Here is a 19,592-nt window from a genome sequence, read left to right on the forward strand (position 1 = left end):
CTTTTGTTTTTCTGTGCATTCAACTTCAATGAAATGTGTATAATTTGAAGGAAAAGAAAGTCTCTTGGAGAATCCTCTCAAGAAAATATAAAGTTATTCTTATAAGATATGCAAACGTTACATTAGTAATGACTCTCCTATGTCCAATAAATAAATAAATAGATAAATTCTGAAGACTAACTTTCTAAGTACCTTTCTTTTTCAGATGAGATGGCAAGATTTAACAGAAGAGAAAAGAGACTCATTAAGCTATCTGTAAACTGGATGTTATTCCTTGCAGTTCAGTTCACATGGCATTTATATATTCTTATGAATTATATAATTTAAATAAAGAAAGAAATTGTTACCTGTGTAGCTAGTACAAACTAGGGTAGACATTGATAGATATTAAAATAACAATCAAGCTATGAAAATATAAAGGTTCAGAAATTCAAAAGTAATTATATTGATCTGGTCAACTTAAAATAGATGATCTTTTGAAAACATTTTGAAAACCCATTAAGAATATATTTTTAAAACTTTAAAAAGTAAATATTCACATAAAACTAAACTGGGCAGCAAATTTCAAGGTAAAAATCAAGTAGGTTAATAGTCCATGAAACATATCAGATATTGAAATTAAAATAAAATTTGAAATTCATTCATGCCAGAAATTACTACTGCCAAGGCCTGTCATATGTCCTAACAGAAAATTAGAAGCATAATATTTAAACCAGGAATAGTTAAATGATTATAAAAAGGGAGCTTAGAATTTATCTCATTTGTTCTTCAAATATGGATCTGTGGTATACATTCACCAGAATCACATTAATTTTAATACTGCTCTACATAAATGTTCAAGTACAGACAAAATTTAAAGGGCAGTTTTACAAACAAGTATATTATTAAGACAATGTTTCCAAATATCAGACATGAAATGGCTGTTTTATGTTTTAAAAAAGCCTAAACCTTGTGAAAATAGGTTAACAAAATATAAGAAAACAAAATCAAAAATTAAATTTTCTCCAAATTTAACTTTTATGAGCATTTATTACAATTTTGTAATACTTGAGAAACTCTTCAAGATGGCATATTTAAATATTTTCAACTCTTAACATAAGGCTTTTATAAAGCCTGTGGTAACATACTGGTCATAATCACTAAGTGCTAAACTAATAATATTGTAAAAAAATTATTTAGCAATTACTAAAAACAATTTTTTTGTATTTTCAGAATTAAAGTAACAATAGATAATTCTGACATAATCTGAAACATTAAACTTTGATTATTAACAAATATAATTTGGCAATTGATTTATTTTAAAAGGCAGATATGACTAAAACATTTTTAAAGAATCATATATAATATATTTTAAGCATATAAGACATTTTATCACATGTTTATTTGAACCTTATTTTAAAAGAAACAACCAAATTATATAAAAAGTATGCTATCCCTGTAAATTACATTGTTTAGATTTTTGCCAGGTAGGAATATTTTGATGAAAGCAAAATAATAACTATAGAAGTTCATTGTCAGCTTACTCTTGATATCTGGGTCTATAATAATTCATAAAAATGTTAAAAAGACCAAAACAAACAACTTTGGTCTAATAGTTAACATATGATACTGTTAAAACCCAACATGATTCTTTATTTTCTCTCACAAGGAATTCTTGGCAATTTCTAAATTTTAATATGAAGTATTTTTAATTCATAAATATTTCTAGTTAATAATAAAACTACTGTAAACATTTAAAACTCTTCTATTTTTAAAACAGCTTACATTCTTGATATTTGAAATACTAGTATTTGAATTATTAAAAGGAAGATGAAATAATTTTATTAGTTAAAAGTTTTATTTTCACGAAAAGCAATGAGTTACTAAGATGGTATTAATTGCTTAAGACTTTTTTATTTTTAATTTTTTTTAAATTGGATTTTTAAAACCCGGTATTATATCTGCTTGTAAGACAATTGGAAATTATACATTCTGGATAGAAATTCTATTTTAAAACATTTGCTAAAAATGAAAAGCAATCTTAACTAAATATAAAATTTTTAAAAATATTTTAGTTAAGCTATTTTTAGATTTGTAAAGCAGAATGACAAATTTGCTTTGAATGCCAACCATTTCAGTAATTTGGTATTCTGTTGTTCAGATTTTTGTATCTTTAGTTGGAATATAAACCTTCTATTTATTTCCATTTGTATATAATTCTAAATGTAGAGTACAGATTCTAGAACATGTTACACATTCACTTGTTGGTCTTGAAAATGCCAATAAAAATAATGCATTTTTGGTTTTACATACAAATAAATGTTTTAGTAGCAAGAAACAGAAACTATATGGCACATTAATTTTTTTTGCATTTTTTTTAATAGATGCTAAAACAATGGTTTCAGGAAAAGGAGTATTTTTGTTTTATCTGAGACTTATAGTACCTTAAGTAATGTTTTCAAAGGAAAATAATAATACTTTTTACAAACTTTCCATTTCAACCCTTATGCAAATGAAACAGCTGCAGCTGATTACAACTTTGATGCAAATTGTAACTCAAAATATAGTTCATAATCATATCTTACTAAATATTTACATTAATATGGAAATAAATGTTATGCATTTTATGGGTTTAAAAAAGATATTACACAGAAAACAGGAACTCCCACAAAAAGAATCAATGCAAAGGACATTTTCATACAGTTTTAGAACCTTCAAACTGATAGCTAAATAGTTACATTTACTTTACTTAATTAATCTCACAGTTTTAAAAGTTAAGGAGGGGCAGCTTAGTTTTGAGGTGCTGAAGGGTTACATGACTCAGCTCTATCTACCTGACGTTTGCAAACATCCAGTTGCTAGACATCACTCGGATAACATAGCCCTTTTCATTTTTTAAAATTTTCATCTAGACATGTTGACATTATGAAGGCACAGAAATTGGTTTTATAGTAATAATATACAAGTATGACGACATTAAGAGAAATGTTAAGAATAAGCCCTATTGGTTCCTGAATTTGCCATCTAAATGTTCAAGTATTAGTCCTTGATTTTTTTTTAAATGTAACTTGATAATAATGAACTGCATTTAAGAAAAAAATACTTATGCTTCTGATTTAAAATAAAAGTAGGATGATTAGGTAAAAAATTTCTAGTGATACCTTATTGAATAGGAGCTACAGATAAAAACTAAAATGGCATTTACTGTTTTATTACTGCTTACTATTATTCATTCACTAGATATTTAAAAACTTTTTTAATGGTGATGTTAGATCTATTAGCATGTAATTTTAAATTAAATTTTAAAAACTTCATAGTATTAAAAAATCTGTATTCTAGTCTCTTAAAGTAGTTGCCAATATCAATGAAAGCTTAAAAATTAAATTGTTTTTATTTCTAAAATATATTTTCAGTTCTTTTAAATGGTATTGCTTTCTTTAGATTTTGATTGAAGAATTCTGAAATAATGCCAATGCTTAAGATCCTGATAAATCTTTAAAAAGCTTTCATTTTGCCTCTTATAAAAAAATTTAATCTGCGTTAAAATAGTATTATCAAAGAGAATTCAAATGCACTGGCAAAATTTTCTTTTTGCTACTTTTACTGTAAATAATAATAATGTTTGAAAACTCTCAATATTGGTCCGGAAGTTTCTGTCTTCATGGCATTATTATTATTTCTGCAAAATGCCATACAATAAGGAATATAAAATTATGGCTTAAAATATTTTGTAGTATGCCACTTAAAATAAATATTACAAAGTAATGACTTTTTTTTTAATTGCTAGGGAAGTTGGACCCCATCTCAGTGAAACTTTCTTTCCTCTTATAAACAGAAATGGTTCTTTTCTTTTTTCTTTTTTTCTTTTTTTTGGTCAGTTTCCTATGTCTTGTTTTTAATAGTGATACCCCATTTTGCTGAAGAAATTTCTATTTGTAACTTACCCCCAATAAAAATGATTTCATTTAAGCATTCTCAATGACACCATTATTAGTTCTTACTTGGCAACTATCAACTATGTCACTTTTGCTATCCAAATGTTACAAACAAAAACAAAAACCAAAAAAAACCTTCTGGTCTTGATCACTTTCCACTGTCACTATTGAGTAGAATCTTTTAAAGCATTTTTAATTCTCCAGATTTGTCAAGCATTCACATGAGCAATGTACAGGTAGAAAATAAGTCAGCTACCCAAAAAGATGTTGAACAAATATAAATGTTAATAAAAATGGACAAGAAGACCACTTCACACACACCCTCACCCCCCAATTTTTCAGGTTACTTTGACTTAAAAACATTGTGTACTAATACAGATTTGGTTGGATTTTGTCTGCAGAGCTGTGTTAGCTTTCTAATCTTGTTTTCTGTTTTAACCTGCATTATAGCCATGGCTAAAGAAATGAGAAATGAAGAAATGTATGGAAGCATACATTCATATACTTCTGGTTTTGTGGCTCTATCTAAACTGTGATATTATGCCAATGATAGAGCTATCCAAAACCTCTCTTTAAAACTTCTGAGATATCAAAACATAACATTGTATATGCCACAGATATTCACAATTATTATTTGTCAACTATACAATTTTTATTAAATTAATAATTTAATAAAATTAAATTATTTTTATAAAAAATAATTTTTCAAAAAGCTTAGAGGTTTATCTATGTAATTTTTAAACAAGCATTGTTGATTTTTGCAACAGCATTTGATTGCTTAATCAAAAGTGTTATGGGCTATATGATATGAGCATTTAAGAATGTCACTCATCCTAACTGATAATCCATACCATTCATCTCATTACCACATTTCAACCAATGTCTGGATCTATGTTTGTAATTGATGTAAAGCAGTTACTTGGCCAAACATGATCCCATCCCTACCAATTTTTTTCCATTTTGGTGGATGTGGACGTTGATTTCCCCAGGTGCATTTTCTAGGAAACAGGGTGATTATATCTGAAGAAACATCTTTATTCCTCTCTGTCCACAAACAGAGAGGAATATCATTGGAATATAAACGGGTCTAGTTAACGGCTGATTCTGGCAAACTTATTTGCAACAGCTAGATTTCTTTGCAATGAACAACTTAGACAGACTTCTTGATAAATTATAATGATTCTAATGGGGTCCTGTAAGGACCTGCTATTCAAATTGTAGCCACCTGTGATATTTTTATTCATAACAGGAGTGAGTCTGGTTCATTATCTCTAAATTTACCTTCAGAGAGCTACTATTACATTTTTGTTTGTCCTTTGTATTTGTTGATTTTTCCCTGCTTCTAAGCTTTAAACATATTGTGCGACTCTAACCAACACAGATGATTGTGGTCGTAGTCTGGAATTGTCCAATGGCAGATGGTTAAAAATCCCACTATGGTCCCATTCGTGGAGTTTATTGAGCTTGTCTGGTGAAGTTCTCCTCAGGTATCCCAAAGGACATAGTACTTGGACCACAGGCTCAATAGTGTTTAGCATTCATTTTGTTTGGTGAATTCCTGGTGATTGCAGCTTCTTTTTTGTATCAAATTGTCACTACAAAATAAAAAGCCCACCGGGTTGGACTTCCAGCCACAGCAAAACCTGATGTTAGGTCCAGAAGGGAATTTATAAATCAACACATTCCCCTTAACTGTTAAGTAGGGAGGATGCAGTGTTGAAATTATTTTTTCAAGGTAACTATTTGTATTTAGTTTGATCTCCAAACAACATGTGTTTGTTTCATTTGTTGAGATACTAAAGAAAAATCATAATATACAAAGTGCAAATGTTGATACTGAATCAGTAGAAACATTACTGTTTCCAGACACCAATAGGTAGAATATCTGATTCTGCATCAGGAGATCTTACTTTGATTCTGGATCAGGCAGTGACTCTTGGTGTAAACTTCTATAGTAATTTCTTTGTCTGGAAAATTGGGTTAATACTCTATCTGGCCTACAGGGTTCCTTATACTATTAAATGAGGTAAACATATGGGTAAGCATTTTGGAAAAGTGAAATTTCAGTCCATGGAAAAAAAGAATTGAATGGGGAGACCAATTTCAGCCTTTTGGTTGTATGACTCTGGGCAAATCATTTCCTTTCTCTGGATCCCTGTCAATTAAAAAAAGTGAAAATTGGACTAGATGATCTCTAAGTCTTCTTGTAGCTTTGACAACCTGTGTTTCAGGATGATCATTGACAAGATTCTAAGGGGCCCAGCTATACTCAAAGCGGGGATTTGTAGGGTGCCCTTTTGTTTTCTGTTTACTCAGATTAATGCCCTACATTCTGTTTGCTACTCATGCCTCTGACTTTGTAGGGGATACTACCTTGGAGGGTACTCCAAAACAGGACAAGCATATCTAGGTATCTCTGGTGGCCACTTTTGTCATAATGTCCAGCAGTGAGGTATCTTGCCACAGATTATACTGTGGAGGAAGGTTGGATATTCAGCCACCTCGACTTGGCTGTTTCTACAAAGTTCATCTCCTTTTAAGAACCTAGCTGGATGGCTTGGTAATGAAGGGTACAAAAGGATGAAGGTTCAAGTGGTTGGATATTTACTGCTTTAATTAATATTCTTCTATTGAAACATTGATCTTTAAGCAAGGTCTTAATAGCTTAATAATTTTTTTCTTTCTTTTTTTTTTTTTTTTGAAATGGAGGTTTGCTCTTGTTGCCCAGGCTGGAGTGCAATGGCACAATCTCAGCTCTCTCCAGCCTCCACCCCCCAGGTTCAAGCAATTCTCCTGCCTCAGCCTCTGGAGTAGCTGGGATTACAGGTGTCCGCCACCACGCCTGGCCCATTTTGGTATTTTTAGTAGAGATGGGTTTTTGCCATGTTGGTCAGGCTGGTCTCGAACTCCTGACCTCAGGTGAACCGCCTGCCTTGGCTTCCCAAAGTGCTGGGATTACAGGCGTGAGCCATAGCGCCCGACCAATAATTTCTTTTTTAAAAAAATGTAATTTTGTCTTTCAAAAGTCAGGGCTGTTGGTTTCTTGGACACATGGCTTGGACTACAAAGGAGACTGAAGGTTGGTGCATTCAGAAAACAGATGGTGGACATTTTGGCCTAAAAAGAAAACTAAGATTTTTTGAAGAAATATAGGTTGGGCAGAAAGTAAAGGATCCCAGGCATCTCTTTATAAGTATTTAATAAGAGAGCTCTGAGATAGTAAAGGATCTTCCAAACATTTCCCTTCAAAATTCCTAAAGGCATCTTCCAATTTTTCCAGAACATGTCCCATCCTAATAGGCACCAGCTGAGCTCCTTCTGACCAATCCTATAAAAGGAGACACTTAACAGGAATGCTGAGAGACAGTAGGTTCCTACATGAGGCGGCTGCATGAACAAATAAAAGGTGTTCTCTCTCTCTGTGTGTGTGTGTGTCTCTCTCTCTCTGCCTGTCTCTCTCTCTCTCTCTGTCTCTCTCTCTCTCTCTGTCTCTCTCTCTCTGTCTGTCTGTCGCTCTCTGTCTCTCTCTCTCTCTCCCTCTGTCTCTCTCTCCATCCCTCCATTCCTCCCTCCTTCATTTCTTTCATTGTAAGAATTGTTCTCCATTAAACTCTTAGCTGCTGTGGTCTAAACGTATCTTGCAGCTACACATTGCAATGGGCTATGGATTCTGATACCCTATTGGTATTTGATAGAGAGCTGACTCTCCAGGGAGTTGGTCATTTGTTCTGAATCGCGGCTTCGGCTACGGACCAGGTACCCTCCGTTTTGCCCCTATCGCACTGTTTCCTCTTTGGCCTCTCATCCCTCTTCACAGGCCCACACCTGGGTTGGAGAGGGCTCTGGGGGCAGCTGGTCGGTTACTACTGAGCAGAGTGTGTGAGTGAGGGAGGGGGAGGAGGAGGGGTAAATGGTCCGAAACATTTTTCTTCTAAAAAGTTGTCAGAAAGCGCAGATCCTAATCTCTTCGTTTGGGTCGTTATTCTCTATCACGACCCTGGTTTACGATTTAGGAGTTTCCTCTTTTGAGGTCTTTGTCATCTATTTAAGGAGATAAACAATTCAACACTTCGTGTGGCCTTGGTAAGTCATTTTACTTCTCTTGTCTTCATCTATAGAGTAAATGAATTGAATTAGATGATCTCTGAGGACTCTTCCAACGTGAAGACCAATGCTTCCAGTACTAGGCATGTAAAGCTAATTGGGAGATATTTTTTAAATGAGTAAGGGAAGCTCCTGACATCCTGTTTCCTGAACAGTGGAGAGTCTGCACAGGATGGCACAGCATGGAACTATTTAACCTGTGAACTTCGTTTTAAAAGAAAGCTGATGTCATTGGAAGGGTGTGGATTTCCTAGTTTTTAGATCACCATGGATCCTTTATGGCTCTTCTTTCCTACTTATGTATTTGCCATTTTTTTTCCTTTAAAGGATTTATTTAGAAGAGTGGTAAGGGGAGGTGGCCAACAAACTAACTTATTTATTGATTTTTCTGGAAAGTTCTTGGTGACTAAAGGAAAATATTGAGAAATGTCTTTGGATTCCAGTGGCCCATGCTGCTTTTTAGCCCCATTTTTGGAAGCAGTTCATGTTGACTCTATAAACGATTCATGTAGGTAAGTTATCATAGGTACAATGTAGACATTTCTACACATATATTTTTGTAAGTGGACATTTGGGCATGTTGGCATGTCTTTTAGACGAGATTTGTAAGGAAGTGGCATATAGCTGAGAGTGGATGGGCATGCTTCATTCAATTCTGATACTATCAGTAAATATTTTCTACTTCATACTTTTTTATTATAGTTCCTTTATTTAAAAAGAAAAAAAACAGAGAAAAGCATAATATGGTATGTTTTGGTTATAATGTAAAGAGGAGGGGTTTTGAAATATAAATTTAAGGGATACAAGTGCAGTTTTGTTGCATGGATATATCATGTAGTGGTGAAGTCTGGGCTTTTAGTGTAACCATCACCCATAATGTATGTTGTACCCACTAAGTAATTTCTCATCTAAAAGGAGGTATCTTTATCTTTTCCCATACAGTTTCGGTTCAGTGAAAAAATGTGTGTTTCCTTAACTAGCTCAGTCACATGTAAATCAATAAAATCACAATTTAAAGACAACAGGCCAGGCACGTTGGCTCCCGCCTGTAATCCCAGCACTTTGGGAGGCCAAGGCAGGAGGATCACCTGAGGTCAGGAGTTTGAGACCAGCCTGGCCAACATGCTGAAACCTCGTCTCTACTAAAAATACAAAAATTAGCAGGGTGCGGTGGCAGGCACCTGTAGTCTCAGCTACTTGGGAGGCTGAGGCAGGAGAATCATTTGAACCCAGGAGGCAGAGGTTGCAGTGAGCTGAGATAGTGCCACTGCACTACAGCCTGGGTGACAGAGTGAGACCTTGTCTCAAAAAATAAATTAAAATAAGTAAAAATAAAATAAAATAAAAACAACAACATAGCACACATTTTAAAGATGGCCTTGTGGATTCTGAGAGAAGGAGAATGACTGAAGGGAGAGGTTGAGAAAGAATGTTTTTAGCTGTTCCACGTAATGGTCCCACCCTAAATGGTATGGAAGAGTAGCTATCAAGAGAGCTTCAAGTTTCAGAGATTATAAAACTCTTGGCCATCTTCCCTTGTCCACATCAGTTTTTGAAAGACAAATGTGGCTGGGCACGGTGGCTCACACTTGTAATCCCAGCACTTTGTGAGGCCGAAGTGGGTGTATCACCTGACATCAGGAGTTCGAGACCAGCCTGGCCAACATGGAGAAACCCCATCTCTACTAAAAGTGCAAAATTACCCAGGCATGGTGGCGCATGCCTGTAATCCCAGCTACTTGGGAGGGTGAGGCAGGAGACTCGCTTGAACCCGGGAGGCGGAGGTTGCCGTGAGCTGAGATCACACCATTGCACTCCAGCCTGGGCAACAAGAGCAAAAACTCCATCTCAAAAAAAAAAAAAAAAAAAAAAAAAAAAAAAAAAGAAAGACACATGTATAAGATACCTTAAGATACTTTAGCATTTCTTTAAAAACAGGTAATTTGCAGATGAAATTAAAGAGAAAAAATAACCTCAGATTGGTCACCTGTTTTCTCTTTTCTTTTGCTTCTTCCCTACCAAAGGATGAGGGACCTTTTACCCTAGTCTCTATGGCTGAGCATGACTTAAAATTTAAGTCAGGTAAAACTCTAGTCCTCCCACCAATGCCTCTACCTCTCACCGCTGGAAAAGTCCAAATAATCCATCTCTTCCACCCCCACAAACTGCTATAATTTCACGTTTACTGAATTAACTAAATGATTAAAGGAAGAATGCATTTTTTTTCCTCTGAGCCTCAGTGAATTTGACTCTATAGAAAATTAACACCATTACGTATAGCATAGATTGGTTTACATAGACCAGTACTGAACTCTTAGGCAAAACAACCCCATTTTAAACTGTGTGACTACGTTTAAGTATTGTGGTCTCCTTTTCCCACTCTCTTTGCTCCCCATGCACACTGATTATTGAGAGAAAATATCTATTCGAAATTCCACAGGATCTTGTATCCAGTTCTCTCCAGTGTTCGATTTAAAGTAACATCCAGGAGGGTGGGATTGAATGACATGAGGTGGTCCCACAGAAGATGGGCTTGGAGCAGTTCAGCGAGGATATTAATTCCATAACAGAATTGGTTGGAATTAGCCACTTTAAAGAGGGCTTCTATTTAAGAACGCGTGTGTACTGTCACTGATGACAGAATAAAGACTTCAGGATATTGTTAAGAAAATTAGATTCCAAGTGGAAAAAATTAGAATATGGCCTGGGTATTAGAGAATAACTGTTAGCTTTGTTGGTGTGATAATGCCTTTGTGGTTGTGTAGGAAAATGTCCTTGTGCAAGATGAAATACTTGGGAGTAAAGTGCCATGGTGTGTGCAATTTCCTTTAAAGTTATCTCAGCAAATATAAAAAAAACAGATGAAGAAAAGATGACAAAATGTTAATAACTATGAAATAGAGATGATGTAGATACATTGATACTTGTTATATTCTTCCTACTTTTGTTTGTTTGAAAATTTCCATAGTAATAGTGAAAAAAACTTTTAGATCCAATATTGTAATGTTAAAAAATACCACACATAAATAATAAGGTAAAATCTTATTGAGATAATATTTTTTGTGCATGCACAAGAGGGGAGCCTGGATTTACAATTTGTCCAGACTGACAGGCAAACTCAGTGTTCTTAGTGTATGGTAACACATAAACTAATAGAGAATGAAAATCCCGTGCAATAATACCACTTATTTTATTTTTTAAAATGCATTTTAAATTATAGAATTGAGTTTGTAGAAAAGCACAGGAGACATAAAAAATGAAAACAAAATAATTTTTATTTACATATTACATCTTATTATCAGTTGTTCAGCTAAGTGCTGAAATGTTTGGGGTTCTGAACCCAGGGGTTGGAGGAGAGCACCTTGAAGATAGTTACAAACACAAAAGGGTTTGAGGACCTTGGACTCATGCATGGGAACTTGAAAGAGAAGTTAGAGTAGCCAGTATCATGGTATAAAGTAACTGAAAGTCTGAAGAGGATGAGACAAGTTTTGAAAACATAAACTATACCAAGATGATTTGATTTGAATGATCTTTGGAATTACCAGATTAATGTGCTTCTTAAAAATGCTTCTTTTGTCTTCTGAATAGTTATGACTATAGTAGCTATGTTCTACCCAGGTAATGCAATGCTTTTTGGATATGTTGGGATAGCATTTGTTTATCACAAAATGTGTGTGTTTATGTATTGCCATGAGGATACAGAAAGGAAATATACCTCAAATAGGGAAGGGCTTGTTTCTATGTAGTATTCTGGGGATACAGAGCCAAGCTTCAATGGTGTTGACTTTAGGTCTTTTGATTATTTGCTGTACACAGGTACATGCCCAAATATTAAAAATATAAGTATTACCCATATAACCCTTGAAAGTCCCACTTTTGTTTAAACAGGAAAGGACAGCTTTCCCTCTGAATGCCTATTTATTTTTCAAATAATAAATTTTAAATGGGCTCATTTTAAAGTAGCAAGCCTCTAGTGAGAACTATGTTGCACCGTATTAAACTTACCATTTGACCCTGTTCTCAACATGGAGATGGTTTTAGTAGACCGGAAGCCTTTAGTAGGCTTGCTCTTCCAAAACTGCTGCTGCTGTTGATTTACTGGTAGCAAAGCTGGGCTGTGTCCTAGGAGGAAAGGACAAGCGAATCCAGAGTTCTTGATTCCTTGGAGTTTGCCTTTTAGCAAAAGAAGAAGGAGCGTAGTTCAACAGTTAAGGTCCTGGACTAAGAAACATGAGATAGAGGATATATTAAATTCTTAAAATTTAGGCATATCTCTGGAGTTACCATTACATGAATAAATGGTCTTCTTTAAAAAAACCAAAAAACAGAAATAGGATATATTACATCTGGGTCCAGATCTATTTTTTTTTTTTGCTAGCTGACTACTGACCTCAGTGTCTGCATCTGCAAATTAAGAGACTCCGATTAAATAATAATTGCTGACATTTCTTCAGATTTTTACTGTGTCAGGAACTGTTTTGAGTGCTTTACATTAAATTTTTTTAATCTTCACAACTCTATAGATATTCTTTTTGTTTGTTTGTTTAATTTTTTCAACCTACATCATGCTTTGAAGATATTCGTAATATGCCTAATTCATCAATTAGGAGATAAGACATTCTGAGGTAATCAAGTGCTCGATAATCAGAGAATTTTCGAGATGGAGGGGCACATGGAAATCACCTCATCTGGGAGGCAGTGTGTATCATTGTGATTAAGTGGGCAAGCTCTGTACCCAAAATGTATGCCGTTCAAACTTGGATCTCATTAAGTATATAGGTTGAGCAAATGGCTTAACCTTTGTTTACCTCAATTTTCTTGTCTATAAAATGAGGATGATAATAGGATCTGCATTATAAAGTTGTAGTATTAAATATGCAGTGCTTAGAACAGTGCCTATCACCTAGAAAGCTCTCAGTAAATGTGAAAGCTAATGAGGGTGAGACTGATGATGGTAGTGACTGGATAAGTGGACACTGGTGTTTTTCCTTTTTTTTTTTTTTTTTTTTTGAGACGGAGTCTTCCTCTGTCACCCAGGCTGGAGTGCAGTGGCACAATCTTGGCTCACTGCAACCTCTGTCTCCCAGGTTCCAGCGATTCTCCTGCCTCAGCCTCCCAAGTAGCTGGGATTATAAGCATGCACCACCATGCCCAGCTAATTTTTGTATTTTTAGTAGAGCTGGTATTTCACCATGTTGGTCAGGCTGGTCTCGAACTCCTGACCTCAGGTGATCCGCAGGCCTTGGCCTCCCAAAGTGCTGGGATTACAGGTGTGAGCCACCGTGCCTGGCTGACACTATTGTTTTTCTTAGAAGAATGTGCTACAGTAGTATTAACAGATCCTCTATTGGGTCAGAAACAGGTGCTAGTGATTGTCATGGTCTTAATGGAAAGGATGGGGTTATCATCAGTGATACAGAATGGTTTTTTAGAGAAAGAAATAATTATGTTGAAGACGCAAAGTTAATAGGAGACTGTTCGTTCAGAAAAATGTGTGTTAATTTGTAATTCAGCAACAAGTTCATAGAAACACAGTGTCCATGAGCTAGGAAGGTGCATGTATTTTTCAGGCTGTTTTTAAAGCTATGAAATTTCAATAATGTGTAAGAGAAAAAGTGATATGTAAATACCATTGTGGATGGGGAGGGGTTATATTTAGGTGGTTAACATTAGGCAAGCCAGTGAGTAATAATTAGCAAATTATTACCATGGCCCTCTGTGCACTTGAAGGCTCTCTGGTGGAGTCAAGGGTAGATCTGCCTCTGTGGCATTTGTCAGAATGCAGATTTTCAGTGAGGGCTTTGTTAAATAAACCATCAGTGTCTGGGAGGGGGAGGGAAAGCAGACTGAGAGAGGCAGCAGTAACACATATAGAAATGAAGTCCAAATTCGGGTGCTTATATGGCGATATTCCAGTTTCTCTGGATCATCATAGACACATATAGAATGTTCGTGCTAAATGGGACCTTGGAGATTGTCTGGTACAACCCCCTCATTTTACATTTTACTTTTCTATGAGAATAGAGTTTGGTGAAATCTGGCCAGGATTTCAGTACAGTGAAATCAGGGAAGTTTGTGGTGTGTTTAAAGAGAGATTTCATGTTAGGATGAAGGGAAAGCGGACATTCCTTCAGTTTTAGAGTGATGTCCAGGTAGGAAAGTAGAGTGGGTAAGGCAGTGAATTTTCCCAAATTAATTAAAAGAGGAAGGGAAAGAGGCAGAAAGGGCAAAGAGATAATCTAATTTTATGCTAAACAGTTTTTGAATGGATTTGTAGCTAATGTTTAAAAGTTGATGAAAAAGAAAACTCTTATTTTATTATTTCTAGGAACTTGGTTTTCTTAAACGGAAAGGGAAGTTTGGGGGAGAGCTTGGCAGCATTGATGGTTCCAGCAAAGGAAGGATCTATTTGCATCTAGTGTTGAACCTAGTAAGCAGTTTATGTTAATCCCTTACTCTTTTAAGATTAATATATCGTGGTGTTTTAAATAATTACTTATAAATAAGTTTATGCCTAATGCTTTCTTTTAAATAACAGTGTGTCTCAATAGGACTAATGAGTCAGATTAATTTGGCATGGAGTTCTGAGCAGGGAAGGGGACTGAAGTCCTCTTTCAGAACACTAAAAATGCTTTGCTACATTCCTTGACAGTTTCCCGAGACAGGGTTGGGTTGGAGGGAGTCTTCCCGAAGATTTAAGGGCTCCCCACTGTGCTAGCTCCCCAGTTCCAATAGTGTCGGGTCTGAATAAGGACACTTGTGAAAGTCCACATCTCTAGTGTGTCTGTTTACCTGGAGAAAAATAAGCCAACAGCCCTGAGGGTGAATCAAAGATAAGATTTTTATGGCTCTGTACCCACTTGTGTTTTATTTTTTATAAAAAGCATTATTTACCTACCACATCTTTAAGTACTTCAGAAAGAAGCTTTGAGTTTGTCATTGTTTTTAATTTAAAAAGGAAAACATTGCACTTTTTTCTCATCTGCACTTTTGTAAGGTGTGGAGATATTAGAGGCTCTCCATATTGGACGCTTCAACCTTGCCTAACAGCACAGCCCGCCCACCTTGCTGGGAGAAAGGCTTCAGGAAAACGAGTAGAGCTGAGGGCTGAATACTATCTTAGTTTAGGTCTTTCTTCTTTTTGCCTTTTGGTTCTGCTTCCCTTGGCTGCTCCCACTTCAGTATCTGCTTGTTGTGCTGGGTAATGGAATCAAGTTAGAGATGAAGAAACTGAGGCACAGCCTAGTTACAATCCCTCATTTTGACAAGGCAAAATGAGAGGGAGCACTCAAGCCTTTAGTCTGGGTGGAGACAGTAGGTCCTGTTGCTTCTGCCCTAGAAATTGCTTGGGCTTGTGAGTTGACATCTCTTCTATCCATAGAAGGAACCTCTGCTTAGTACTTGCAAACTTGTACCACAAAAGTCACATCCTTCAGGGGAAAAAAAAGAGAAAAAGAAAAAAAAACTAGCTTAGGAAACCAAAGGTTGCCAAGAATGGCATAAGGGAAAGCAATTTTTTAGTGTCTGTGCGTAGGAATTTTATACGTTCTATGTTGCTGTGAAGCACCAGGGTCAGTTCTGAGCAAGATACTTTTCGTGAAATGAGGGGTGGTGTCTGCGGTTGGCATTCTTTCTTGTGGTTCTCACTCAGCTGTGCTCTCCAACTTTATTCACCTGTATGAGAACCCTAAGCGGGATGCCCTGGTGAAGAACAAGAAATTGCCAGGGTCTGGCAAATTGCAAGTCCACAAGTACCTAGTAGGGAGTGAAAATTGGTTATGTTTGGAGTATGGAGAGATAAGCTTAACTAAACTGTGAGTAAACATGAAAACAAAAATAAAATCAGAATATGCCCGCAAATGCTGGGGAGAAGAATGTTAGGCATTTTATTGGTCTGTTAAAAAAAAAAGTGGGGAATGGTGGATTCATAGAAGAAATAATTAGAAAACTGGTGTAGGAAAAACACTGTGGGGAGGGGGGAAAGCAGCACAATTAATTCTCATTCCCCCCCTCTAAAGTTTGAAGTAGTAGATCCTTATGGGGAATGAAGGGAATATGTAAGAAATCGTAAAATTTTCTAAGCAGAAAATAATTTTTCTTTGGAGAGGAGGCATGTGAGTTCATGAATGTAAACCTGCATTAAAAAGGAGAGACAATTGTGGGCAGAAAGAGGGAGAAGGAGAAGCAGTATAATCGTTTTTAAAAATTCAGCCTAAATTGAGTATTCAGCATTTCCATCTTAGAGTATGTAGGGTTTTAAATATCTCTGTTCGAGAAAATTGATTTGAAGATAGAAAGGCCTTTCGAAACTTAGAAATTCTAGGGTTTAGGTTTTTTTCTTTCATATGTTTATTTGAAGCTTAGACTATAGAAACTATATATAAAATAAGAATTGTTACGTATTAGGAAATTTTTAAAATAGATAAGGCTAGTTAATTATTTAAATATATTGAAAGTATTAAAACTATTGAGTCATAAATAAGACCCCCAAAATATGTCAGTGGCAGGGTAAAATGCAGAAAAACTAAGTATATCAGAAACTACTATCTGTGATAAAATTCAAAATGGGGTTTTTAATTGCAGCATTAATTTAATTTAATTATATTTCAGACTTGCTACATAAAATTAGGACTCAAAAATACAAATATCTATATGTCCATCATGATTTTTTACAGAACAGAAGTAATCATAATCATTTACTTGTTTTTTTTTTATTTCTATAGGAAAATAGCAAAAATTTCATCTCCTGAAGAAATTTGAAGATTTTTTTGGATATTCTTTTAAAGGTGAAACTTTTCTTCTTTAGGTAAGGAAACGTTTTCTATTGTTTATCCATGGGTTGAAAAGAGCATTTCAATTAGACGAAAGAAGTATCATGTACTAAAACTTTGCTTATCTTAACTGATGTAAAACATCATGAAGATGATAGAAAGCAGGATTTTTAATTTAAATAAAGCAAAAGTAGTTAGAAATTTTTCATTTAAAAAAGATTAATTTGTTGGGGAAAAAATGAGATAGACCCCTTTTTTTTTGCACTTTCTCATAGCCTGAATAAGAGGATTCCCATGATCCATCTTTTAAAAATATTTAAGACATAACCAAATTAAAATAAAAGTTATGATTCTGGCACAGAGTTTTAAAAAATATTTAGCAAAATCAAAAACAAGAGAATTTTCAGACATCTAAAATATTCCTAAACACAGATGTAAACTAATGTGATAAACTATTTTGATAAATTTGAAAGACTGGTCATTGTTTTAAAAGCAGGCCCGTGAATTAAAGTTAATTAAGATTTGTGCAGTAACAGGCAAACTTAAACTTTGGTATATACTCACATGCTGGGAAAATATTTTTTTGTAGGGTCAGAATGTAAATATAAATAATTTGTTTAATCAGGCAAGAACCTGTACTTTGTGTGTGAACTCTTTTCAGTGTTTGGTAATTGTGTTACGTTGATAACATAAGAAAAGGAGACAGACTAACTTTTTAAGCATATTAGAATATTTGCAACTCATTCTATTTTTGGCAATAATTCTATTAGTGCAGTTTACTTCCATGAACAGTATAAAATACATACATGAAAATCAGATTTTTAAAAGCAGATTACAAGTGCAATTAAATTGTCTAAACAAACATTTTAAATGCTTTGAAGTATTTTATGAAATTAAAAGAATAAAACAAGTAGTTTCAGAAATTATAGAATCTGTTGTAAATATGCAAATTTGCACATTCTAGCTTTGTCACCAATGCCACATTTGGGAAAAGAAATAGATTGCAATGTTTGTCTTCTATTAACATATATATATTCTTAAAAGTATACAAAATGTTTCCTAATTTTAAACATATTAATACTGTTACGTATAAATATTTTTTAAATCTTAGTATAAAGTTTAGGGTTTTAAAAAAATATACTTTAAAAATTCATGTGGTGAAATAGAATCTAAAAACTTGAGGGAAATTACTAAATTTTTTGGTATAAATTTGAAGAGTTCATTTCTAGAATACGTTTATTTTCTTCTTATAAAGACATTTACATCAATATTAAGTATATAGATTAAGACCTACTTAAATTACTTAATTAAAATATACTAAACTTCTAAGTTATTTTTAAAAGAATGATGTGGGTAAACTGAAAAGATCATAAAATTATTTCTAATGTAATTTTTACGTAAAGCCCTTTAATATATCAGTTTTTACCTCTTATATTTTGAACCGTTAAAAGAAAAAAAATGACTAATCTCCTAATGGAAAATATAATCTTATAGTACTGAGAAGAGAGTTGTAAGCATGTAATAAATATATGAGATCAGTTTCATTTCTGACTTGTTTTTGAGCCTTTCTTATGAATCATCATGTATTTTAACATCAAGAGAATAATATATAAAATACGCTTTAAAATGTTACAACCTGGTAGCTATTAAAAAAGAGAGGGGAAAAAAACAGAGCTTTGCCTAGCAAAATACTAACTAAAGAGTTAGGTGAGAATTAGAAATGTTCAGATGCTAAAGTAGTATAATAAACTAAAATTCCAAATATATATGAATATATAATTTTTTATATCTTGGTATATGGCATTTGTCTTAATTGTTTAGGAAACTACATATTGTACAGGAGTGAAGAAGTAAATGATGAAGTATTTTCTCATCATAGTTTACTAGATAAAAAATGTACTAATAAGCTAAATGTAATAGTAAGGGGCACATTTAAAATATAATTTCGTAGAGTCTTACTAAATACGTATCTTTCCAACAAGGCTTTAGGTTTTTGCATGTGTATTAGGATTTCTGAGTTTTGTGATTTGAAATTCATGATACATTTTGAGTGCCCTTTCAAATGGCAAATTGTTTCTGTGGAAAAATCAGACATTATGTACATTTCATTTTATATTTGGATGTGAGAAAAATAGCAGATAATTTGGGAGAATTCTAGTTGTTGCCTTAGTGTATGCATCAAATACTAAACAATTATTTTATCTCTCAGTTATACGTCTGGGCATGTTACAGTTTGTACTGTATGTACAAACAGGATATTGAACTTACATTGATGATACAGTGTTCTTTAAACGTGATTGTTAATCTTTACTGAAATTATGGGCAAACTATTTCAAAGAAATGCGTTTTTAAACTCTTATTTTTAATTAAAATGAGAAAAACCTTGAAGGAGTTCATTTATGAATAAAATATGTAATTGTGCAGTCTCCTGAAAGAATGAACTCTTAGTTTATTTTTCAAATTTTATTAAAATGTTTCTTTACTTGTTGCTTGTTGGCATTTTAAAATTAAAAAGTAATAAAGCAGCATTATTATATTTCTGATTATCTATCAAGAGAGTGAAAGGGAAACCAAAGTATATTGACACAACCCAGGTTTTCCCCTAAAAAAAACTAACTTCAAATTGAAAAAATATATTGCCCATATTTAATATTTCTTATTAGGACTTACTTGGAGTCGCATAATTTTTTTGAGACAATATATTGGAGGAAATTTGTCTTATAAAATGGAGAGATGTAGAACATTGTGGGCAGTTATAGGATAGTCTTTCTCTCTTGTTGCTTCCCAGAAGTTAGAAAAC

At 34.0% G+C, this 19,592-nt stretch overlaps 1 protein-coding gene across 4 annotated transcripts in view; it reads left to right on the plus strand.

Annotated features, from left to right (window-relative positions):
* Positions 1–19,592, plus strand: part of HSD17B12 (hydroxysteroid 17-beta dehydrogenase 12) — a 299,895-nt gene that overhangs the window by 67,487 nt on the left and 212,816 nt on the right. For all 4 annotated transcript variants that reach the window (XM_024448573.2, XM_047427074.1, XM_024448571.2 and 1 more), the window contains one exon: positions 16,745–16,827. The gene's annotated coding sequence lies outside the window, so the exon portion shown is untranslated. The remainder of the gene's footprint in view (positions 1–16,744; positions 16,828–19,592) is intronic.

Source organism: Homo sapiens, chromosome 11 (genome assembly GCF_000001405.40).
Source record: "Homo sapiens chromosome 11, GRCh38.p14 Primary Assembly".
Taxonomy (NCBI): Eukaryota; Metazoa; Chordata; class Mammalia; order Primates; family Hominidae; genus Homo; species Homo sapiens.